Source organism: Homo sapiens, chromosome 12 (assembly GCF_000001405.40).
Source record: "Homo sapiens chromosome 12, GRCh38.p14 Primary Assembly".
Lineage (NCBI taxonomy): Eukaryota > Metazoa > Chordata > Mammalia > Primates > Hominidae > Homo > Homo sapiens.
Genome location: NC_000012.12, coordinates 4,028,518 through 4,054,682, shown reverse-complemented (window position 1 = coordinate 4,054,682; position 26,165 = coordinate 4,028,518). Strand labels below are relative to the sequence as shown.

General features: G+C 45.8%; 6 annotated features.

The window, feature by feature from the left end:
* Positions 7,222–10,621: a biological region, named in NCBI's record as "meiotic recombination hotspot 12B".
* Positions 7,230–8,629: a meiotic recombination region, noted in NCBI's record as "crossovers mapped in sperm cells of males of African ancestry with hotspot activity specific to the L6 and L8 alleles of PRDM9". NCBI's record gives the evidence for it as "EXISTENCE:DNA detection assay evidence [ECO:0005519][PMID:21750151]".
* Positions 7,471–10,621: a meiotic recombination region, noted in NCBI's record as "this region was identified as a recombination hotspot within the HapMap YRI population". NCBI's record gives the evidence for it as "EXISTENCE:nucleotide sequencing assay evidence [ECO:0000219][PMID:20981099]".
* Positions 8,008–8,023: a nucleotide motif, noted in NCBI's record as "nucleotide motif; similarity, but not exact identity (6/7 nucleotides), to the predicted 16-mer PRDM9 C-type binding motif, CCNCNNTNNNCNTNNC, found close to the center of the hotspot as mapped by sperm typing". NCBI's record gives the evidence for it as "COORDINATES:motif similarity evidence [ECO:0000028][PMID:21750151]".
* Positions 9,175–9,187: a nucleotide motif, noted in NCBI's record as "nucleotide motif; similarity to the predicted 13-mer PRDM9 A binding motif (LD hotspot motif), CCNCCNTNNCCNC".
* Positions 23,282–23,521: a silencer, noted in NCBI's record as "silent region_4144". NCBI's record gives its function as "represses an Ori minimal core promoter by ATAC-STARR-seq in GM12878 lymphoblastoid cells {active_cell/tissue: GM12878}" and the evidence as "EXISTENCE:reporter gene assay evidence [ECO:0000049][PMID:35858748]".

The window sequence follows — 26,165 nt, the reverse complement described above, 5'->3', positions numbered from 1 at the left end:
TTCAATAGTTCCATTCTGAGTTGATTGGCTCAGAATGAGGCCTGAACACCAGTGTGTTTTAAAAGCTTTCTGGACAATTCTTAGAGAGAGCCAAGGTTGAGAACTTTTTTTAATATTCATTTGTATTATTTTTCATATGCTTTTCATATTCTAGAGCCCAATCCCAACTGTTCCATCCACTCCAATGGCTAACCTGTGTTTTCTATCCTTTTGATATAATTTGATTTATTCATTGAGCATTTAGGCAGTGCATCATGTACCAGGCAGAAACAAAGAGAAGCATGGGGCTTATCCTCAAGAAATCCACTGTCAGTTTTATGGAAATAAGTAAACTTTGCTATCTAAACTCAGGAACTTAGTAAATTCAGATAAATGTTTGGATAATACCTTGCTATCTGAATTCTCACTATTTGCTACCTGAAATGTAGAAACCAAACACATTAAAATAATGGGACTCCCCTCTACACAAATTACACAAAGTTACCATCCAACCTGTTGCTACAGCTCTAGAACCAAATAGAATTGGATAGCACATTATTATAAGTGCCATGTAAGTAAATGAGTTGAGAATGAATAGGAAGATATGGCCACCTCGATAGAGAGGGGTCCTGGCCTCGGGGTCTTACAGCCCCCAACAATCAGGCCAGGTAAAAAGGAAGCTTTCCAGGCTAATGGTGTCATCAGACACCAGTGCCATATCTCTTTTTCTGGAGATGTTTTCTCTTCCCATTTCTGAGATTTTCGTGTCTCCCATAATGCCTAATACCATGAGAATCTACCTTGTCTGGTTCAGTGGAGGTCTGCAGATTGCCTGTGGGTAAAGAAATGCACGTAGGTGGTTCCTTCTGGTCAGAAAAACTTGGGGTATTGAAAAGGAAAAGTAGATAAAGAGCAGAGGGCAACACAAAAAACCAGAAGGAAAAGTAGATAAAGAGCAGAGGGCAACACAAAAAACCAAAGAGAAGGCTCAAAGTGAAAAGCCAGCAACGGGCCCTCTTGAATGCAGAAGTACTATTCTCCTGGTGCCATGCTCCACACCTCATCTATCACCACGGTCCCCTTCCTGGTGTACCTGGATGATTTCTACAATGCTCATTTGCACCACTACCTCCCCTACCTGCAGTCTTACCTTTGACTTATTATACACCTTTAGATATATCTAAGGTTGCTGCTGACCTGAATTTGCTCATCACTCACTCTCCTCTCTCCCTCAAAGGCTTACATGATGTAAGAAGAGGCTTCAGAAGTCATCTCCTTTGTGCCCTACCTTCATGCAATACCCAAAGATGAGCAACAAAAAGACTAGTCCTTCTGCTGGGAGATTCCCTGGAGAGAGACCCTCTAGTGTCCACCAGGCACTGATATCTCACCCTTTCTTCTCCTCTGATACTGCCTCCACATCCCTGTTATTTTAGTATGCCTGAATTTTCTGAGGCAAAGGATGGCTCTGTGCATACCTCACCTTGTCTTCTCTCGTTTCTCACCTCCCTCACGCTGCATATGTAAGAATGTTCTCTCTGAGTTAGATCCCTCAAATTATTTCCCAGGCCCTTCATCTGTTGGCCCACAAAGGAGGATCGATAAGAGTTCAAGAAAGCCGAAAGCCAAGAGCATTCCCCATGCTGGACTGAGGAAAGGTTGAAGCAGACCAGGCACAAACCCTTCAGCTCCTTGTCAGCAGCCTTTGATCTCTGTGGCAGCTAACATGAAAGTAGAATTTGGCCCTCCAACTGTACAGGATGAGACTTGACAAGAAAATCAGTTTCTCTGACAATTTCAAAAGGCCCGACACTTTCGTCACTTGGCACTTGGCCATGGGGAATGGTGCTGTGGACACATCTGTACCCCCCCCCAGAGAAACCATTTTCCCAGGAAGGACTGACAGTTCAAGTGCAGGCAAGTCCATGAGGAATGAAGGACAAGCTCTTCCCTGCCCTTCATTGAGGACAGGTGTTGCAGGAAGCAGGAGGATTTTCACTGGGTAGCTAAGGGAACTTCCTACCTGCCTGGGTTGAAAGGCACCAGGAGGGCTGTCCAGGGAATCTGGAGAAACTCTTTTCTCAAGATTAAAGAATAAGCATGTCTGCTGCTGGTTTGGAAAAGTTTAAGCCAAAGATGCTGTAGCAAACTGGCCTTTGTAGGATCTTTCCACATTTGCAAGCCTAAGTGTGACTCGGATGTGCTTTTTTCAGCTTACCTCTCTTGTTCTTCAATAAGCAAACCAAAATAAATTAGATTTGCCCTTTTATTACAGTTTCAACTTATCATTTGGCTTCTGAGCTACTCAAAGTTTAGATGCTTCTGAACTGAGCTGGATCCTGCTTTCCATTTTCTCAAATGGCCTTGGGAAAACTGGTAAAGTTGGCAGGACTTCCCCATGGTACCGTCACATCCTCACATTCCTTCCTAGCATCTCTTACATCCCCTCCACCTTCAAGCATCCTGGAGCTGCAGTATCTCGGTATGAATCCACCCTAAGGGTTCACAACTCACTAAGTGGCCTTCTTCTAAAATGTCAAGAGTATTTTAAAAGTGGGCCTCATTGGCAGACCATGTTTAATTCAAAAGAAAGGGCTATTTATGGAATAATCTCAATATCAGTCTTAGAAGGGGTCTCTGCCCTGGTCTGTTGAGAAACAGACTGTTAAAGAGAAATTAGAACCAGAATTAATCCCTTCAGAGGTATGTTATTTGGGGGGATTTTATTTTCCTGGAAGACATGTGCCCTGAACTTTGAGTAGGATCCAAAGCTGGTAAAAGTTTCCCCTCTTGGGTAAGTTCCCAAGGAAAGTAATGACAGACTGTAGATGTTTGGTAGACACAAAGACTGGGCTGCCTGTGGGTGTGAACTGATGCTTCTGAACTCCCCTGAAAACCACATAAATAATCAGCATTTGTCACAGCAGCAGCAACAGCACTCTCCACTACCACCACCACAACCACAGCATTGGCCAAGGGAGGTCTTTCTTAATTAAAGCAACTATCTTTCCTCACCATCAATGCAATTAGAATTTAATGAACCCAGGGCATTTCTTTTAAGGCCTCAAAATTATAGCTGATCTCAACACTCACGTGCTGGGTTGGAGGGAGAGGCATCACCCATTCTGAAAGCATGAGAAATGGAGGGCAATAGGAATTAAAGAGACGGAGTTGTGCTACACTGAAGAGAATCACCTGGAGATGACGGGGACTCAAGAATGACCAGAGGAAAGGTGACTGTTCCTTCTACGGACTCTGAAAGAATGTGGAAAATCCTCACTTCCCAGCATGAGGGTGGGAGGCACATTAATCAGTTAATATACAAGCATTTATGCAACGCCACCTTGTGCGAGGCACTGCATTAGATCTATAGAGGGCATGATAGGAAGACAGATAGATAAATAAGACACAGTAGACACAAGCCCTGATTTCAGTCTACTTCAAACTACAGTTCAGGTGTGCATGCTGAAATGATGACTAGAAGGCAAGAAGTTAATGTTTACGTAAAGAAAGTGGCAGGAGTTCTAACAAGCCATGCTGTTTTGGAAGACACAGAACCCAAGGAGGCGGCGAGGAAGCAGAAAGCCTTCCAAGAGAAAAAAAAAACCAGCACAGCACAGGCAGGAAAAGAACCTGGCCTGTTCTGGCATCAGTGAGCAATAAGTAGCAAACAAATGAGCCAGGGACTGTTTGGTAAATTTAAGTCATTAAATGCTTACAACAACCTTACAAAGTAGGTTATTACTATCACCCCTATTTTACAGATGGGAAAATTGAGGTACATAGAGATGAATTAACTTGCACAGATAGTAAGTGACAGCTGAGATTCAAACGCAGGTGGTCTCACTCCAGACCAGTCTGTCCAACAGAAATATTATGTGAGCTACAAATGCCAGCCACATGTGTAATTTTAAATATTCTAGTAGCCACATTAAAAAATAAAAAGTAAAAACAATTAAAATTGATTTTAATATTTTACTTAACCCAGTATTTCCAAAATAGGTATTTCATTCATTCTTTGAAATCCGGTGTGTTTTATACTTACAGCACATCCCAATTCAGACTAGCCACACTTTAAGTGCTCAGTAGCCACATGCAGCCAGTGGTTACCAAATTGGACAATGCAGCACCACACTACCGGCTGTGCCCTTAATCACTCAGCAAGGCAGTCTCCACAGTGGGTGGCCTGACCGCAGATGGTCACAGGGTGATGAGATTGGATAGGTAAGCTGAGGGCAGGTGGAGGAGAGTTCCTAATGGTGGGTGAAGGAGTAAATGGTTTCAAGAGACCACTTTTGACCTAACATAACAAATGCAGTGCCTTACACATAAGGGCTCAAGCCTGTACCCTTCTTGTGTGATCACTCATTGGTCCCCAAAAATTACTGTGAATTGCAGATTGTGGGAGGTAATGTGGTACAATAGAGGGAAGCCTTGGTGCTGCAGCTCAGCAGACAGGGGTGTGGGCCCACCCGCACCGCACACCAGTTGTGTGATCTTGGGGAAGTTATTTAATGTCTTCAAGCCTCAGATTCTACATCTACAGCTCTAAAATGGGACTCACCATGCTGATGTCACAGCACTGTTTTAAGGATTAAAGCAGATTAAATAGACTTCAAGCTCTTAGTACAGTGCCTCACATGTTATAAATGCTCAAGAAATGCTAGCGGTTATTATTATCAGGAGCTCCAAGTTACACGGTTACAAAGTTCCAAGTGGCCCAGTAGGCCAGGCTGTGGACTGCCGCCTGAGTCCCTACATAGTGCATTTCAATTTGGCCTCTTTCTATGGTGCCAGGTGAGGCCAGGTCAGACTGGGGAGTCGACTTGTGTAAGACACACAGAGACCTGGGGGTGGGGTGCTGGGAAGACCCAGAGGGCTGGCTCCGGGTCCTGTTGGCTGGAGGAAATCATGCGGGAGATGAACTGGAATGGACTCCTGAACATGGATTCTTACTCAGTTAAGGAAAGCTGTTTAAGATCCTTGGACCTGAGAGCTGAGAGGAGACTTGGAGATCACTTAGGGTATGTCAATTCTCCTTGATTAGCAAATTAAGGAACTAAAATCCAGTGAGATGAAGTAATTGCCATGGCCAGGCGCCTAGCTAGGAGCAGAGCCCATGCCTCAAGTCAGAAATCTCAATTTTTGTCTAGTGGTCCACACTTAATGAATCATGCCTGTGACTGCCTTGTTCTCATATCAGCCCTGGCTGCGGGTCAGAATTACGTGGAAAGCTTTGAAAATCCACAGATGTTGGGTTCCTCCACAAGAGATCCATATGGACATACTGCTTTCCACTGACTGTTTCCAAGAACCACCCTCCCATCACAAAACTCTCTAGCCCCTCTTCAAAATCTGGCTTTTACATATCTCTTCTGTGAGGTTTTCTGAGATAACCATGACAATAGTAATAGCAGTATTAATAACAGTAATAACCAATACTGTGAGGACTCACGATATGCCAGCCACTGGGCTAAGCATCTTGCATGGATCATCTGATTTAATCCTCACAAGAGCTACTGCATTTTTTAAAGCCTCATACAGAGGAAGAAATCAAGACTCAGGCAGTGGTAAGGGGTTTTTTGTCCAAGGTGAAACTGTTGCAGGTGGTGGAGCTAGGACCTGACCTGTCACTGGTCTGACTCCAGAGCTCATGCTCTTAACTCTGATTCTAGGTAATCACCATGTTAATGTTAACTTATTGGGATTTGCTTTGCGTATCAGTCTTATTCTTGCATATCTATCCATCCTTTGTTTTCAACTACACTGTAGGCTCACCAAATGCAGGGACACTTTCTTCTTCCTGGGGGTCTCTGCTCTTTGTCTAAGTCAGTGTGAGCTCGATGGGTTTATGGGCTAAGAGTAGGTCAGCAAAAGGGTAATCAAGGAACAGAGGCTTCTGTATCCCGGGGGAGGGGAGGCCTTTGGAAACCTTGTTCTCTATTCTAGTAGGTATTTTTGAAATACAGAAAAATCACAAAAATAGAAAGTTCATAAAATCATACAGTTGGAATGGACAATAGATGTCTAACTCCACTTTTATTTTATAATGGGGAAACTAAACTGAGGTCTTTGAAAAATAAGTGACCTGTGAAGGATCACATAGCTGACGCAGGGATAAAACTGGAGTCTGGGAAGTAAACACAAAAACTATCACCATCATGTAGTATCTTCTTAGTGTATGTCATAGTTTTTATACTCATTGTCTTTAGTTTACGTAACGAGGTGGACATTTAACCCATATTTTATTGATGAGGAAACTGAGGCACTGACAGGTAAATTAACTTGTCCTGGCTCACACAGATGGGAAGTGACGCCAGATCTTCTGTCTCCTGGGTCATTACGTAATATTTCTAGAATTTTTTGAGAATGAATTATGTGGTAGGTATTTTATGTGCATTTTAACAATCATCACAGAAACTCTCTGTGGCAAATAACATAGCCCCATTTTGAAAATGAAGGAATGAGGACAAGGTGAGGTGGCTCATGCCTGTAATCCCAGCATTTTGGGAGGCCGAGGAGGGCGGGTCACGAGGTCAGGAGATCGAGACCATCCTGGCTAACACGGTGAAATCCTATCTCTACTAAAAATACAAAAAAATAGCAGGGTGTGGTGGCAGATGCCTATAATCCCAGCTACTTGGGAGGCTGAGGCAGAAGAATCGCTTGAACCCAGGGGGTGGAGGTTGCAGTGCGCCGAGATCACACCATTGCACTCCAGCCTGGGTGACAGAGTGAAACTCCATCTCAAAAAAAAAAAACTGAAGGAACTTAGAAGAAATGGTAACTTGCTCAAGCTTGCTTAGCTAGTCAGCGGTGGAGCTGAAATTCAAACACATGTCTGTCTGACTCTATGTCTTAAACTCCTAGCTGCAACAATACAGTGCGCTGGATGACTGGGATCCTAAAAGGATAAGGCTTAGGGACGTTGTTAGACCTCACAGATATACATCATTTGCTTTGGCTTGTGATAATGAGAGAAGGGGTACGGTCCTGTCCATCATTCCAAGTCCCTTCTCCTAAATGCTGGTAGTGTTCTCTTTAGCAGCACGTCTCTGATGCCGACTGCAGCGCTGACAGTTTCCCGTAAAGCACACATCCCCTTGCATCAAGTCTGCAAACAGATGAAGCAGAAGGTCACACTTTCCAAGAACAAACTCCTTGGGTCTGAGAGCCAGCTGGAGATGTTTCAGTCCCAATTAGGTAATTTTGAGGGGGTAAGTTATAGCTTATACAAACAAGGAGTCCCAGCAAGGTTCTGCACACAGCCTTTTTAAAAAAGACCCCAAGAATCATCGTTATGAACATTGTTAACACTTTCTCCCATGCCTTTACTCTGTTGAGCTCTAAGTACTTCTCCAATATAATCTCATTAAGTGTCCCGATATACCACTGGCGTTCAAGGGAAGGAGAAGGCACTGAGCAGAATGGAACTGTGCTTCAGGTCAAAGGGGAAACTGGGGAAGGAATCTAAATCTAGTCCCAAAGCAGGAGTGGTGAGATCAACCCTAACTCCAGGGCACAAGTCACCCGAAGGTAAGCATCCAACTCTCCTCTGGAACTGAATACCCAGCAATTCCATTTCCTTCCATTAGAAAAAAAAAATTAAAAGAAGCATTAATAAAAAAGAAAAAGCAAGGAAAAGAAATAAGAAAGTTTCTATCTCTACCTTTTCATTTCTTAAAACTCCAGCCTTTTCTGTCTCATTCATTGTTCTGAAAAAAATTTTTCTTTTTTTACATTTTTCTACGTGTGCTTTTTTTTGTTACCTATTTCTCAGTGTAGGTAGTTTGGGCCCCTGTTCTTTTTAAAAATTTAACTCAGGTTCCTGTTTCTTTGGAATCTTTTTGTCTACTCCCTCCAAGTATCTCATCTCATCTCTTCCCTCTCTCTCTTTTTAATTGGAGTAGTTTCTTCAAGCGCTAAGAAAATTCACTCCCTTGTTTTTTCTTCACTCTTTCCCTTTCAGCTGCGTTCCTGAATTGCTAGCGCACCAATTCTGCTTTACTGACCACAATTGGTGCAGCTGGGATGGCGAAGGAGCAACTGAAAAGGAAATGCTAATCAGACCTTTGAACAGAGCATAGTAAAACACACACACACATACACACATAAAAAAGCGCTCTGATTTAAGGAGGAAAATCCCTTTTCTCACTATCCCACACAACGAGGATGGTTGTGTTTCCTCCAGTGACCTGCCCAGGCTAGGGAGAGCCATGGCATGGGTCATCTCCTCCACGGCCCCCTCTTTAATGGAGCAGTTTTAGACACAGCCCAAACATTCAGAGGGGAAAGTGCACACAGACTTGGAGGCACATCCCACCACATCAACGGCTGGGTAGAGGTTGCCACTGGAAATAGAAATGGGCATGGGGAGGAAGCCGTATGGTGAGAAATGGGGCGGTGGAGCCTCCTAGATTTTAGTAAGGGAGAGGAGTAACACAGAGAAGGCTCAGTCAGACCTTTGTCCTGAACCATATTTTTGCATAGGGTTTATTTTTTGTTTTATTTTTAAACCTGCGGGAGAGAAGAAGAGCAAGTGACGAGGCCATCGCTGATACTCAGTGTCCCGTCTGTGGCCTAATCAAAGGTGCTTTACTGGATTTCTTTGAGGATGTTATCCAACACTAGCCAGGGAACATAGCCAAGGAGTGGGTACAGCAATCAGAAGGCTGACGGAAACTGACAGAGAAAAAATGACAAAACTGGAGGAAGCTTGTTAGGAAAGGAAGAACCCCAGACTTGCGAGCATGAGTCCTACGTCGCTCTCGTAAAGCGTGAGACACACCACTTACTCTCTCTGGGCTTTGGCGTCCCCATCTATAAAAAGAGGTTTAAATTGATTAATCTCAGAGCGACACTCCAGCTATAACATTGATATTGTTGAACAGCAGAAAGAAAACCTTTCCCCTTTGTCTCTTTCGTTATAGATGATAGAAAATAATCATAAGGTAGAACGTATTTTAGTCACTGTCTTCACTGATTCCAAAAAGAACCACGTTGCAGAGAGAAAGAAAGTCCCGTTCATTTAAAATCAGACTCAACATCAAAGCAAGTTCTCATCACCATCCAACGCTTTCTCTTCTACAAAGCCCTGAGCAAGGCCCCTTTAAGGTTGGGTGTGTGTGCAAGAAACAGGCAAATTCACGTGAGCTCGGCTCCCGCGCAGCATCTGACACGGCAAGTGGTGGGGGTGGGGGCAAGGCGGGGGGAGAGGAGAGAAGGAGATGGGAATTTTCTAATGATCTTCTTTAGTTAATAGGCACAAGTTGTTAGCTTGATCTGAGAAGGCCTCTTTCCCCGTGTGCCAATTCCACCCCCTCCTTTTTGTAATGGGTTTAGTTCCCACAGCTAATGCACTGCGTAATGAGGCCGGAGGGAAGCGGAATGCTCTGGAGTAATGATATGGAGCCTCCTGGGCCCTGACAAAGGACAGAGAGAGCCCGGCTGGATGTTCTCAATGACAGGGTCCAGGCTCCTGATTTTCAGCCCTGGCGAGTCCAACTCTCCTGCCAGGGCTTGTGCTAGGCAGACAGTCACAGCACAGACCCCGGCAGAAAACCCCAAGGGGTCTTGGTACAGGACAAACCCCCATTAAGCCAAGTTTGTTTCTTTTTCTAAGCCCTGATCCAACCTTCCTCCCCCTTCCTCCTGGTCTTCCAGCCCTTGGTAGGGGCCTCTCACTTTCAGGATGGGGTACACTTTCCCCTGATAATCCACTCCCCATTGTGTAAGAAAGCATCCCTGCCCCATTCTGTCAACATCTACCAGGCTGCGGATGAGGACATCGTACCCTGTTGGGATCAGCATATGCCCAGTAGACAAGGGAGCCACGTGAAGAAGGTGCCCCTCATTCCGCTGTCACAGCCCTTTGCTCCAGGACAGTGTCACCCACTGCATTTTGTGTGGAGTCACCACCACATGGGCATTCCTCATTCCCGTGAGACCTGTGCTCTTCGACGGCTCCTTCTTCTTCTTTTCACCCGCTACGGCCCCCAGTTTTAATACACAACACAGACCTGGAGCTCATTCCACATGTACTGAGTTGAAATTACGTGAATGACAGATAACTGAGTCCTGAATATTGATGTCATTGGAAATAACCTGGGGATCACTATAGACTATTCACTAAAGCCATCAACCCAGGGGGCTCTTGGGACTCCTAAAGTGGGGGCTGGGGAATAGTAATGGTAAGATGTCAAAACAAAGAGAAAAACATTATCCCGTCATGGGACAAATCCAGTAGTCGCTTATCCACAAACAAAGAAACAAAAACTTAACGGCTGGAAAAATACAGCAAGAGACAACTGAATGATCAGGAGGAGGCTGGTGAGAGGGTCCCCGGTATAGTGCTTGCACCCTCGATGTACATCTTACGGTTTACAGAGCGCATAGAACATCGATTTAGTCTCCCTAACATCTATGGCAGTACCCCATGAAATGCAGGAATCACAGCAGGAATGTCTGACACATTCAGATAAGGAACCTGGGTTCCTAGAGGTTTGGTCATAAGGTGGCACAGCTAGTCAATGCTAGAAAAAGCGCCCCCAGCCCAGCACTGTTTTCACTATGCCCCAGATTAACAAGAATTCATCCATGTTACAGATAAGGCTGCAAACAGAGATAAGTAAAGTTTAGAAAGTCACGTAGCTTGTTCACAGCTTCCACAAACCCGTAACCCAGGGTAACCCTGAAAGCTTGGATGAGAAAAATGTAAGCCAAATAAAAAGCAGGCTTTTATTAGGTGAACAGTAAACCCGTGATGCTTATTGGATAACAGACACTCATGCAGTCCTATTGTGTGCCAAGCTCTGTTCTAGGTGCTTTGTTTCCCATGGGAATTCTATGAATTAGACATGGCCCCTGCCCTCAAGGGCCTACTTTAAGAGACAATACTGCCAAGAAATAGAAATATCTTTAAAGGCAATCGAAAAAATTCATATCTGATGGTCCAAATAGGTTAGTGAGGTAACATGGGCAGCTGGGGAGGGTTTCCAGGTCCTCGGGGGCTGATCGTGAGTCTGCATTTGGACACTTGACAATGATAGAATCCTGGACAGAGCCTCATGGCTGTGTTCCAATTCAAGGCACCATTTCTCCAACTCTCATGCCAAGTCACCAGGCGTCTTCAGGACTCTTCTCATCTCTTGGAAGGTCCTAAGATTCATGGCCCCTAACCTGCTCCATCGCTGTTAGCCTCATCCTGAGAGAGCTGTCCCAGGCTGAGTTATCCAGAGAAGAGTCTCTTTACATTAACTCTTCATTTTTTTCTGCATTTGGGCAGAAATATAGAACATACATTTCCAGCCATAGATCAGTATCACATACCATACGCATGGCCACCTTAGGGCCTTTATACATGCTTTTGCCTTCTGCCTGGAATCCATCCCCATCCCCATCCAATCCACCACGCCTCATAGCTCCTCCCCATTCAGATCTCTCCTCCGAGGGTCACCTACTTAGAGATATTCACCTTACCTACAATAGCTATTCCCTCAGATCATCTCCATCCGCTTGCCCTGTTTTTGTTTGTTGTTTGTTTTTTATAAATCCTACCATTACCTAAAAATGTTCTCTATTTCCTTGTTTGTTCATTGCCTCCTTTAGAACGTAATCTCCATTTATGGAAAGAATCTTGCTTTTATTGACCACTGTGTCTCTAGTTCCTAGTAAAGTGACCGGCACAAAGTAGGCCCTCAATTACTGTTTGTCCAATGAATGAATGAATGACGACAGAGTTCATGTTTCTCAGATTACTTGTTGTTGAACACCAAAGCCAATGCTAGATTCCAAAAGAACTTTTCCTTTCTTTTTCTTTTTATTCTTTTCATTCTTTTTTGAGACAGGGTCTCTGTCTGTTGTCCGGGCTGGAGTGCAGTGGTGCAATCATAGTTCACTGCAGCCTCGAACTCCTGTGCTCAAGCGATCCTCTAACCTCAGCCTCCCGAGCAGCTAGGACTACAGGTGTGTGCCATCACACCTGGGTAATCTTTATTTTTAATAGAGACAAGGTCTCACCATGTTGGCCCAGGCTGGTCTGGAACTCCTGGGCTCAAGCAATCCTCTGGCACCAGCCTCCCACAGTCCTGGGATTACAGGTGTGAGCCACGGCGCCTGGCCCTTCCCTCATTTCATGTAACATCTCTAGAGCAATTGCACTGACACTTTATTATCATCATTGCATTACCACTGATGTTATTATTTGTTAGTATCACAGTTCATATTTTTATAATTATCCATTAGACTAATATGATCTTAATAATTGAGTGCCTATAACATAACATGAGTGTGCTGGCATATAGCAATCACTTGATTAATATTTTTCAGTCACTCTCTTAATAGAGTCTCTATTAGCCAAGTACATCGTAATCATAATGGAAGGCAAATGACCATCCAGCAGGTCTCATTGGCCACACTGACAAGTTTTTGGGTAGAGGCTTTCACATCTATTTTCTCACTTATTCTCAACAGCCCCAAGAGGTAAGTATTCTTATCCGCCAAGGTCACAGTTAGTAATTGGTGTACTGATGCAGACTCAAGTCTGTTTGACTCCAAACCCCATGCTTTCCCCCCAGAATCGTACTACTGGACTAAAACTATCCTGCACTAGGAAAAGTTTTGCCTTCTCCATTACTCCAAGAATAAGCCCTGGTTTATTCACCTGTAAAATGAATGGACTGACTTGAGAGCCCCTTAAAGTACTTTGCAGTTCTAAGAGCTGTGATTATCTTTCTCCTCTGCTTGATGTGAGCAGATCCATTCTCGTGAGTCACCTGCCTGTCTCTGCAAGTTCAAATTTCTTTAAAAGACCCTCAGATGATAATCTGCCTGCTTATTTTGCACCCCCTTCCACTTCTCAGAGCATTTCCCTTCTCTGAGTAGGACCCAGGACCTCTCTCTCTGTACCTCACTTCCCTCCTTTCAGGAAAAGGCTCTCCCGGAAGGCCCTGCTCCCCTGATAGGCACCCCCTCATTAGAAACCAGTGACGTTCTCTTTCAGCTGGCCTCATCATGTTCTTCCTGGTTTCGCCCAGAGTCGCTGCCAAGACTTCCCACCTTGCCCATCTGGCAAACGTTTAACTCCTTTATGTTGGAGCTCAGTTATCAGAAGGAAAGTGAGACATGTTTCCACTGACAACCCCTAAGTCCACTGAGCAAAAGAAGCTGGACCAGCCTCTTCATCAGTTATCTGAGTAAGGGAAGAGGACTCAAGCCAGTCTACTAGAACTAGAGTCTATTTTCCCCAAACTCAAGCAGTCACTGGCAAAGTGATGCTCCCATGTGGTTTGGAAAAAAGGCTCTGCCCTTCTAAGCTGCAGGCACCAAAACAGTGTGGACTCACTGGTGGGGAGAACAGAGGGGGTTTATGATCCACTTAAAATATGTGTGTAAGGAAAGCAGGGATTCGACACCTGTTTCCCTTTCCACTGATATTTATGACAGCTGAGGAATCTTACCCTTCACAAAAGCCTCGGCTCCATGTCCAAACCTAGCTTTTTTTTTTCAATTTACACAAACATTTTCATAGAAAAGCATAAATCCCATCTTGTCGTGAGAAAGGACAGTTCCAACTCCTACTGGGGTGAGGAGCATATTTCTACAGGTCTTGACAGCTCAGCCCCAATCTCTGTTTTGAGAGCATGAGCCTGAGTGTGCAGCTATGTTCTTCTCCTCCAGATCTAGGGCAGGCAGTGGGCAACTTTCAGCAGTTCCTTATGAATGGAGGTCAAGACTATAGCACACAGTATACACACAAATAAGAGGTGGTATTGGAAGGAGAACCTGTCCCTCCTGCCTCTTTTCAGTGTCTCTTACTCCTAAAGTACTACTACCTTTCTCTTGGAAAGTGGATGGATATGATTAATCTATCAACAGATATTTGAGCACTCCTTGTTCCCCACCCACCCACCCCTGCCGTCAAGGGCCAGAGTCCTGCCAGGCATTCTGGGAACACTACAGGCGAGGTGTTCCCCTGCCCCTGAGAAGGTGACAGTCTTTATGGAGGAGGTCACCATTATGGAAGATAAGTGGTAAATTTCAGAGCTGAAGGTGCCCTTCAAGGTCATCTAATCTAAATCTCCTCATTGCATAAATGTGGAAACTGAGGCCTAGAGGAGCTAATTGGTGGCAGGCAAGGACTAAACCAGATCATCTAATTTCTGATCTAGTGTGCTTTTTGTTATGTCATTAAAATCACTATAAAAAATTATTTAGCACCTGTCTTTGGAATAAGATGCTAAACAAAGCACATTTAATAGACATGGTCCAGGCTGTTTGCCCAAAGCTTCATGTTCAGAACAGAGAAGTGATCCCATCACTGTAGCCAGCTCTATTAAAAAGGGCACTGCGGTAAGTGCACACACACTGAACCAGGGGAAAAATTACACAAACCATGTACTGCTTTTATCATAAAATTACATAAACCATTCTTGGTGGAATGACAGTTATAGTGAATCTGTAAGTTATGTCAGAAACTGGGAGGTGGATGAGTGTCTGTGGTTTGGCAGGATACAGGGCAAGAAAGTAGGCCTATAGAGGGAAACTGAATTAAGATGACAGATGTAGCACACACTCCAGCATCACCCTTTCACTCCCAAACCCCGGAAATGACAAACTTTAAAAGTCCATAAAATGCTGTGAAACAAAAAGTCTAAGGTGACTGTAGAATGACAAGTCTAGGAAGAACATTGCCAGAGGCCAGCTCATGCATCTTTTTACTTATTTATCTGGGAGACGGGTTCTCACTCTGTCACCCAGGCTGGAGTGCTGTGGCACATTCATGGCTTACTGCAAACTCTGCCCCCTGAGCTCAAGCAATCCTCCCACCTCAATCTACCAAGTAGCTGGGACTACAGGCACACACCACCATGCCTGGCTAATTTTTGTATTTTTGGGTGGAGACGGGGTTTCCCCATATTGCCCAGGCTGGTCTCAAACTCCTGAGCTCAAACGATCTGCCTGCCTTGGCCTCTTAAAGTGCTGGGATTACAGGCACGAGCCACCAAGCCCAGCTGCTCATGCATCTTTGAGGTAGGGCTTCACCCACGTGCACCTCCAAAAAGGCCTCTGAAAAGACTTGTCTGCATTTTCTTAAAATCTAGAGAGAAGAGAATTCTGCAGCCACCCAGGCAACACTTTCTAATCCTGCCCAAATCCTCATAGCTAGTAGCCCAAATTCATCTTGCTTCATCCAAAGGCCACTCTCATTTGCTGGGGTGGTAGTGGCAGGAGAAACCCAGCTGCACTTTGTCAGTACTGCACAACCCCTCCATCAAGTTGGACCGTATTAACTAATGGAATGCCCGCTGCAACCTCCTCACCCACCCTAGCCTTTTCTTCTACAGTTTTTTTGTTTTTTTTTTTTTTTGAGACAGAGTCTCGCTCTGTCGCCCAGGCTGGAGTGCAGTGGCACGATCTCGGCTCACTGCAAGCTCCGCCTCCTGGGTTCACGCCATTCTGCTGCCTCAGCCTCCCGAGTAGCTGGGACTACAGGCGCCTGCCACCACGCCCGGCTGATTTTTTGTATTTTTAGTAGAGACGGGGTTTCACCGTGTTAGCCAGGATGGTCCCGATCTCCTGACGTCATGATCCGCCCACCTCGGCCTCCCAAAGTGCTGGGATTACAGGCGTGAGCCATTCTTCTACAGTTTATAGAAAGCTGTAGCTTCCCAAACTTTATGATTCTCCCCAGAGCCCTTCTTCTGGTTTCACTTTCTAACATGCCCAGGAGCCTGGCACCCCACCCTCTTGCAACATGCTCTGCACCCTGAGAAGGCTTTTCTGATTGTCTCTGCAGTAAGGGTCATGAATTGGCCTCTCTCACCCAATTGCCCCGTGATTAAGCCACTAACTGTTAAGCACCGCAGTGTAATAAAGTCACCAGCTCATTTTATGGAAGATATTTTTCTCAAGAGTCCAAAGTGCCTTCTAAGTGTTATACTGCCCCATTACTTTACTGCATTAGAAGCCAAGAAGATGGTGTCTAAAACTTTAGCCAAAATTTCTGTGCCTGTCCTATTTTAGCTTTCCTTCCCCTCATTTGGTTCACTGAAATCCACTGAAGCCACCAGTATAACTTCTGCCTCTGGATCAGTGGTCAGTTCTCAATTACCAATATGTGGATCAGCTATTTTGTGGGTCTTCACTTGCTGTTGGCTATTGTGAGGTGCGATCTTACAGAAGACAGACCATTCCATGCACACAATAATGAGGAAAACAGACATTTGCACAGTTAAGAGCTATACATAGAAACTTAGAATGGCCCAGGTCTGGACAGCTGGTCAACCCCAGGGACCAGGTGATGTGTGGTGAGCTCCTTGTGCCTAAGGGGGAAGAAGCTCACCTGCCTCTTCCAAGAGCACTTGCTTCTAGGGGCCGCTCAGTATCCCTAACATGCTTAGCAGGATACTGCAAATGCTTGTTGATGAACAGGAATCATCAGTTAATCCATCTGCAGGCTCTAAACACCCACAAGGGATTTGAATTCACTACTGAAGCAGCAGCAAGGCAGCAGCTGTCACTCAGCACCTGCCACAGGGGAACTGGCCAGATTTCAGAAAGGGTCCTCCGAGGCCAAAGATGGCAGCAAGGAGAGATTCCAGTGGGATCAGGGGTGACAGCTGGAGTTGAAGGGGAAGATGCAGAGAGGAGCTTGAAGGGGAAAGGAGAAAGGGTGGGCAAAAAGCAAGTAACCGTGTATGAAAAGAGGAAGAAAGAGGCAAAATGGAAAAGGGGTGACCCTCAAACAAAGCCAGAGGGCACTAAGAGGAGTACTGGTAGGAAATCTCAGATCAGCTTTCCGAACGATACCTCCTTGCTACAATTTTGGCCACCAGAGGGCTCCTGTATTCCAAAAATATTATGGAAAATGCCAAATGTCTCCAATATTTTGCACTCCAAGCATACACATGTGAAATTAGCAATTTCTGTTTATGTGCAATAAATGATTGTCTTTGAAGACTTGGAGATTTAATTCTGATTTTGACACTGTGTCCCCAAGTAAACAGTATCCTGGACATCAACCTCTCTGCTCTGTTTCTCTATGTGCAAAAAAATGGAGAGGCTATCCGATATCTTGTTACAATTTACAGCCAGAATTAGGTGGGGGAGAAGTAGAGGCAGAAAATGGCTCTAGCAAGTAAGACTTAAGACTGCAGAGATATATATAGATCACCGCTTCTCTATGATCCTATGTATTAAGGATGACAAGACCTGTATCTTGGATGTTTGCACCATCCTTGCCCTGGTGAAACTCATATAGAGAAAAAAATAATGCACATGTGTTTGGTAAAAGGCTCAGGTTAATGTGCCAGTTCTGTCCATGTCTAACTACATGACCTTGGCTTAAACCCCTAACCTCATTAATTTCTTTTCTCCTCTATAAAATAAAAAGGGTTCTTATCTCACAGGTTGGACATGAGAATTGAATTCCATAATGTCTTTGAAGGGAGTTGGCACATGGTAAAAGCTCATTATTTATGCATTAACTCAAGTATGCCCTGCAAGTGAGATTGACATTACTAAGAATCCTAAGAATTGCAAAACTGGCACACACTGGGCATCCTCAGCATGAAAAGACTAAGAATGACATCACGTCTGCCTTCAAATATTTGAAGAGCTATCACATGGAAGAGGGATTAGAACTCTTCTATGTCATCCCAAGAAGTAGAAATGGGACCCATGGGTGGATTAGGGAATCAGATCAAGCCTGACAGAGAATTATACGAATTGCCTAACACATAAAGCTTTCCAAAAAAATGGGGTGAGGAGATCAAGTTAGCTCACATCTGGGGGTGTTCAAGGAGAAGCTGGTTGAGCAACGTCAGAGAAGTTGTAACGCCGATTCTTGCATCAGATGGGAGAGGCTAGATTTGATGACCCACTAGAACCTCCCCACCTCAGCAAATTCTATGGTTCCTCGTTCCAAGCAAAGGGAAAAAAGCCTTGTTATGTCTCGTAGGAGCTCATGTTGGTCAAAAGGATGGTCTTCCAGCCTGGCAGGTGTAAATGCGTACACTTCCCCCATGTCGTGCCCTCCCTGTGCATCTGGCCAGCCCTGATCATATCCCTGGCCATAGAGAATGGCCAGGGCCCAGACATTGGATAATAGCCAAGACAAGTGCTATTCACATCAAAGATGTTTGATCTTTGATCATACTCATTATTTGTGGAATGACTGATTGGTGTTCCTGACACAATAGTGGATGACCAAAGGAAGGTAGGGATGGAGGGCAAAGCTGTAAATAAGGAATGAATACATGATAAAGAAAGGGGTGGGCTGGGCGCGGTGGCTCACCTGTAATCCCAGCACTTTGAGAGGCCGAGGCGGGAGGATCACGAGGTCAGGAGATCGAGAACATCTTGGCTAACATGGTTGAAACTCCGTCTCTACTAAAAATACCAAAAAAAAAAAAAAATTAGTTGGGCGTGGTGGCGGGCGCCTGTAGTCCCAGCTACTTGGGAGGCTGAGGCAGGAGAATGTCTCAATGCAGAGCTTGCAGTGAGCCGAGATCACACCACTGCACTCCAGCCTGTGCAACAGAGTGAGACTCCATCTCAAAAAAAAAAAAAAAAAAAAAAAGAAAGGGGTGTAGGATGGGTACAATGGAGCACACGGTTGCCTCACTGTTCAAGCATCTTTAGATCCAGAGCTGTGTGACTTGGGGCACTTTCCTTCTGTCTCTTCCTCAATCTTATGCTGAGAGCAGTTCTTTCTCTCACAGCAAGGGAAGTCTGTCAAGAGGCAGAAGTCTAGACATAATGACTTTTGGATGTGCTTCCTCTGTATAGTGCCAGTGCAAAACGAGATTCCACTTAGACCTTCTCTCTAAAGAGGATATTCATAATTTTGCTAAGACAAAATGGGAAGAGAAAGAGAAGGCATTCCTAGCTGTCATGGAAGGAGGCTACCAGAAAAGAATCAGGGAAAGGAGAGTATCTCAGGAGTCAAAGCACGAGACTGCAATCTAAAGAAACTTCGTTTTGCAACTCAACTTGATTATTAACTAGATGTGCAATTATGAACAATACCCATGCTTCAATTTCTTTATCTGCAAAAGACAGTTAATAATGTCTCTTAAAGTTTGCTTAAAAGTGCTTGGCACAAAGTGGTATTCAGATCATGGCGCATTGCTCTTGTTGTTATGGATTAAGAACCAGTCAGGATCAAGGAAACTTGAACAGTTCCCACTCAGAAAAAGAACATGTACATGTATGGAGTCTGAAGAGAGATGTAGGTATGCTTGCCCTGAAGGTGCAACCATGAGACTGTGTCTGGAGTTATGTAAACTGAAGTGGTGTCTGGACCAAATGCATAGAGTCTGGTTTGGACCAAATGCATAGAGTCTGGTTTGGGTAAGGAAAGAGGAAGAGGACATGGATGTGTACAACATGTAACCAAATGTGCACAGTGTCAGTCACCTTAAAAAGAAACGAGTTGGACCATGCTGTATTGCTGCAAGAGAGCAACATTCTCCACATGGCTGGACTCAGGAAAGTAAATGGGCCCTTGTTGCATATAAGGCTGCCTGAGAAAAAGCAAACATTGACTCCCAGAAACAGTCTTAAAGTAATGGGCATGTCATAGGGCAGATGGTAGCCAGCTGTTCTCCAGTTTTTCTGAGACCAGCAGAATAGGAGATGTTCTATGACTGCATCGGGAGGGAATTCATTATCCCCAAAGGCTCCCCAACCCTCAGGTCTGTTAAGACCACTGATATTACTGACTGAGGGAGGTTATGAAGTAGCCTTCTTAAGTGCTTTAAATATAAGGCTATTATTCATGTTTTGGGGATGATGTCTCCCATCTTCACTAAACTGATGCCTGAATACCAGTCATGGGCTATGATATCCCAAAATGCTGGCTATAGGAATTGCAAATGTTTCACTGGAAAAATGGAAAACTAGCATCATTTTTAGTTCACAGGATCATGATTTGTACCACAGCCATGTGGATGCGTGGTAGAGACGGGAAGGAACCGAGTCCCAACTATTGATCCACAGCATCTGCACTGTTAGGCAACACGCCCTACCAATGAAGCAGGGTACCAAATACTTTAGTAGTCTCCTCCATTACTCTGCAGGGCAAATATAATCATCTTTCCTCTGCGGAGGAGGACTTGGAAGAGATCGGTTAACTCTTTTCAAAAGTTAAGCAATTTCCTTCTTGAGAGCTTGAAGTGGGACAGAATGCAAGTCACCTGTCCTGCCTGCAAGAACTTCTTGTCCCTCCCCCTCCAATCCATACCCCTCGATTCAGCATGAAGGGTCTGAATTCCAGTGGATTCAGACTTTTTTGTTACCAGGACCCACAATAATAAGTATATTTCATACCATGATTCAGAACATACACAATCACACACACACAAACACATTTCATGAACCAATACTTACAGCACACACAGATTTTCATATTTTTCTATTCCATTCTATTCTCATCCATTCTATTTTTCAAATGTCAGTCATGACCTGAATTTCCCTGTATAACCTGAAGTTTGAAAAACAATGTTCCTACCACTGATCTCTCCCACCTATTCAAAAGACTGTAGCTATTCTCCATTTCCTACAAAATAAAGTCCAAATTTCTTAAGAGGACAGATAAAACCATTTATAACTCTGCCTTCCAGCTCCAGTTCTGCCATCTTCACCTGAGCTCACAACACACCTGGCGACTGGCCTTTCCTAGGAGACGCAAGCCCCACTACACAGTCTCACTTTCTGCCTTGCTCAGGCCCTACCCACAGGCTAGATGCACTTCTCACTACAAGAAAAACTGCTCTTTCTCCTTAGAAATATCCCAGGTATCACCCCCTTCTGAAGACTACCCTGACCTGCCCAAGCAGAACTAAACTCTGCACCAGGTTTCCAGTCTAGGAACTCTTTTTTGTATAGTGCATAATGATCATCTGACCCTCCTGATGGTTTAGATGTCTTTCCCTATTTCTGAATTGGTAGGAATACATTTTTAAATCCTTTCCTTTATGATTGGCACCTGCCTTTTTCTTTCTCAATCTTCAGCCTATTCCCCCTCCCCATCTGCATACATCCCAGAGCCCCCCATACAACTGGAAGATCACAGAGAAGGAAAAAGGAGAATGGTCAAAGTTAGTTGTGGCAAACCAATCTGGTTCTCGTTTTTCTTCCTCCAAATTTGCAGTCCTGTTTCCAGGAGATCCAAGCTTGGCAAAGGCATAGCATGATTCATCTGAATCACAAGAAGTTGGAGAAGGCAAGTGAGGTGGAGAAACCAAGGCAGAGTGCGAAGAGTGGCTGCCTCAGGCTACAAAACCAGGGCAGGAACTGACAGTACAAACAGAATAAATAATACTGATTCACAGGCCAGAGAAACCTGTCGCCAAAAAATGCCCTGTTGCAATCTCAGCTGGTAGGCTGTGGATGGCCTGATTTACAACCAGTTTCAGAGTTTAATGAACTCTCAGGTCACCTTTATCTATATAAAAATAACAACAAAAAGACCCCTAGTGCTATGCAGTTTTCAAAGCAATTACTCACACATTATTCCATTTCATCGTGGAGTGTCAGAGTTGTAAGGGACTTTAAGAGGTCAATTAGCTTAATCCCTCATCCTGCTGCAGATGAAAAGGAGACTGAGAATAGGCAAGTGACTTGCCCAAGGTCACACCCCTGTGTTAGCAGCACAGTGCAATGCTCTTTTTTACCAAACCACACTTCTCACACACAGAAGTAGCCAGTGCTCCAATGGTCTCTTGATTCAGAGCGCTCTAAGAGTTTCACTCTGCCTGGATTTCAAAGCCCTTCAAAGGAGGGAGGGTGGTGCCTGCCTTATCTTTCAAAGATTCCCAAGCGCAGAGATTCTATGGCATCTCTCTGGTCAACTCTTTTTTTTTTTTTTTTTTTTTTTTTTAGACGGAGTCTCACTCTTGTTGCCCATGTTGGAGTGCAATGGTGCAACCTCGGCTCACTGCAACCTCCGCCTCCCAGGTTCAAACGATTCTCCTGCCTCAGCCTTCCGAGTAGCTGGGATTACAGGCAGTTGCCACCACGCCCGGCTAATGTTTTGTATTTTTAATAGAGACGGGGTTTCACCATGTTGGCCAAGCTGGTCTCGAACTCCTGACCTCAGGTGATCCACCCACCTCGGCCTCCCAAAGTGCTGGGATTACAGGAACGAGTCACCGCACCCAGCCTCCGGTCAACTCATAATTTGCTGCCACAGTCGGCTAATCTGGTCTTCACAGTATTGTATCCCCATTACCAAGAGTGCCTAAGCTATTAACCCACCAGTAACAGGTGCCAAATTGCCTCTTCTTCTGCACAAGATGTTCGTTTAAAATCAAATTGCACATAAACCCCTCCAGTCCCAACTCACTTCCCTCAGCCCTCGGCCTTTTTTGGTCTTCTTTCCCCTTGGTGCTCCCAATCCTGCCTACTGGGCGTCTCTAAGATGACGTTGGGAGGGGAAGCTGGGTGGCCTGGGGGAGCAGCTATGGAGTTGTGCAGGAGCAGGCGGGCAAGTCACAGGGCTTTATCCACCCCGCGCCCACAGGCCCCAGGAAGGGGTACCGCGATCGCCTGATGTCACTACACTCATGGACTCTTCCAGACCGGCTCTCTCATCTTACAGATGGGGAAACTGAGGCCGGGAGTGCAGAAGGGGCTTGCCCAAGCACGTTAGTAAGACTAAGCTGGGAGAACACGCCAAGTTTCCACACTCCCAGGCCAGCTCACTTCCTCTACTGTCCGCCTTCCCCTTCGCCCATGAGGAAACTGAAGCTTAGGGAGGTGGAGAGATGACCTAGAACCGCTCGGCTTCCCCAGGCCGGGTCCAGGAGCAGAAGCGCGGAGAGAGGGGAGAAAGGGAGGCCGGGACCGGGCACAACTCCAGGGGGCACTGCTCGCCCCGCGGTCTACGTGCCCCCCGGCCCTTTGTGCCCTGCTGAAGTTGGGGAGAGGGCGCAGGGAAGAAAGGGCAGGTGCCCTGACCCTCCAGAAAACCAGCCCCTCGGGGCCGCCCAGAGTCGGGGAGGCCTGGCCCCCGGCACTGCCCACGGCCTCTCCTCCGGGGAGACGGGGTCCGAATGCCTTTCCCCATTCAGCGGGATTATCCCTTTTGAATTGTTTAAAAAAAAAAAAAAAAAGCTGCAGCTAGCGAACCCTGCCTGACAACACCGAAGGAATTTTTCCCAGGGATCGGCCGAAAGCTGACTCACATTTAAAGGCTTGCCCGAAGTGGTCATGCCCCTCTGAGCAAATACCACAGGCATGCGAGCACGCGTCCGCGGCCTCCTGGCGGCGCGGCCTCCGGGCGCGGCCGGCGATTGGAGCAGCGCAGCGCCCCTTCTCCCCCGCGCAGCCAATCGCAGCGCCGCGCCTCTGGGTTGCTAGCCGGGCCGCCGGGCGCGGGGAGGCGCGGGCGGGGAGTTGTCCCTGCTCGTTTCCCGGCCCCGGGCGGGGGCGCGGCGGGCGGGCGGGAGGCTCAGGCAGTGGGTTTCGGCAAGTATGGCCCTGGAGGGAAAGCCAAGGAAAGGGCTGAGCCACCTACGCCGCAGGCCCTTTGAGCCCCGCGGTCCCCCTCCGGAATGTGCGCGGCGGCGAGAGGCGCTCGGCCTGGGCCCGGCTTGGAGGCGCATTGCTGCGCATCTTCCCCGGACCGCAGGAGCCTGGCCTGCGAGCCACCCTCGCCTGCCTCAAAACTCCGACGCCCGGCAGTCATCTCCTGGCCACTCCACCATTGCAGAAGGCAGCGGGGGGAGGGGGGCACGGGCTCATAAATCGCGGAAGAGCAGTCAGAGACCCTAGTTCACAGCTACATTACAACCAGATTAACGTGCGATCCTGGCCAAGGCTTCTCACAATTGTAGTTCTGGTGTTTTGGGGTTTTTTTCTCGTGTTTCAAATGAGAGGTTTGAGCAGGATCATTAGAGTCCTTGGCGCTAAGATTCAGGTTCTTGTAAGAACCGAGATCCAGTTCTTATACTTCAGCCCCAAACGATTTTCCACGCAGCGGCCCAAGTGCTTTTCTCAACATGTAAATGGCATCATGTCATTCCCCCACCTTAGTACCTCTGAGCATCTCTGTCCCTCTCCATCCAGCTTTATCCCAGTGGTCTTTCTGGGCTGCTTGAAATTACTGCCCCTCTCCCCCAGCTTTTTCCTGCCTCAGGCCTTTGCGCGTGCTGTTTCCTTCACTATCTCTTGGCCAATTCCTAACTCATCCTTCAGGTCTCCGCATAAATGGCATTTTACTAGTGAAGCCTTCCCTGTGCCCCAATCTGAATGAGGTCCCACTGCTACTCCCACGTGACACCCTGCGGTTTTCCATCATGCCTATGTTAAAAGCTGTAATTTTCTAATTTTATTTGCTTACTATCTCTTCCACTAGAAAGGACAGAGGCCACTTCTATTTTGTACCCCATCAGAACAGTTAAATTATCCCCAGGTAAGTAAAGAATTATCATACCCATTTAACAGATAAGGTGGTGGAAGTTGAGACAGGTTAGATAACTTACCTAGGTTCAAATAGCCAAAGGTGTTAGAACCTATGGGCTTCTACTTCTGTCAGGAAATTGGATTATAAAATAATAGGCCTTCCAAGAAATAGCAAATAAATTGCTAGAACAGATGGCTTTAGCACTTTAGATGCTGTGGTTTTGCCCCTGCCCTTCAGGACTCTTTCCATACCAATGAAAGTTCTATTCCTTTATTCATTCAACAAATATTTATGGTGTATCTATTATAAGCTAAGCAGCACAATCGTAAACAAGAGATTTCCTTTCCAGAATCTACAGAACACTAGCTACACAGTACAGCCTTTTCTACCATGGAGCAGTATCCAAACTGTCCATTTAGTTAAGAATTTTGGTCATCTTTTCTGATATTTTGTTTATTTTGGTGTCTGTTCTGATATGTGGTAGGCTTAGCCTACCAGATACATGTATATATAGATGTATACCTACCATATGTGTGTGAATATATGTATATACGCACACATCCTTTTTTTTTTTTTTTTTTTTGAGACAGGGTCTCACTGTTGCCCATGCCCAGGCTGGAGTGGTGGTCACAATCATGGCTCACTGCAGCCTTGAGCTCCCTGGACTCAAGTGATCCTCCCACCTCAGCCTCCCGAGTAGCTGGGACTACAGGTGCACCCCACCACACCTGGCTAATTTTTGTATTTTTTTCTAGACACAAGGTTTCGCCATATTGCCCAGGCTGATCTCGAACTCCTGGGCTCAAGTGATCCTCCCGCCTCAGCCTCCCACAGTGCTGGGATTACAGGTGTGAGCCACCATGCCCAGCTGCCTGTATTTTTTATTGGACTAAAAAATGCATCCCAAAACTTGGTCAAAAAAATAAATTTCTTTTAAAATGTATACTGCTGTTAGGTGGGGCACAGTGGCTTAGGCTTGTAATCCCAGCACTTTGGGAGGCCGAGGCGGGCGGATCACCTGAGGTCGGGAGTTTGAGACCAGCCTGACCAACATGAAGAAACACCGTCTCTACTAAAAATACAAAATTACCAGGCATGGTGGCGCATTCCTGTAATCCCAGCTACTCGGGAGGTTGAGGCAGGAGAATCACTTGAACCTGGGAGGCAGAGGCTGTGGTGAGCCGAGATCATGCCACTGCACTCCAGCCTGGGCAACAAGAGCAAAACTCCCTCTAAAAAAATAAATAAATAAATAAATAAAATTTATACTGCTGTTTCTTTGAATTACCAATGTGATCTGGGTGCCAGTCATAGTTATCTCTAAAGGAAGATGCTAAGGCAGGGAAGCTTTACGCATGGCAAGAAACTTTTCTAGGTATCATCCCCTCAGCTGTGATTCAGAAGCTAGCCTGCCTTCACCCCTACGGGTCCTAGGTATTCCCTCCCATTCCCTCTTGCCCCTCTAGCAAGTCACTGTCCTTCCAAGCCTCATGCTCCTCATCTGGCCTGAATGCTTTCTAGCAGTGAAGAATGTATGAAGTGAAGAATTCCCTCACTTATTCAGCAAATATTTACTGGTCATCTGCTGTGCACTAGGCACCTTTCCAGTACTGGGACTATAATGGGAACAAAACTTGTGGTTGCTGTCCTCAAAAAGCTTACTCTCCAATAAGGAAAAGGCTGGTGTAACCATCAGTCCACCCAATTAAACAACCACCAATCTAGCAATCACACATTCACACATAATCATGCACTGAACTGAGTGATGGGTGAGTGC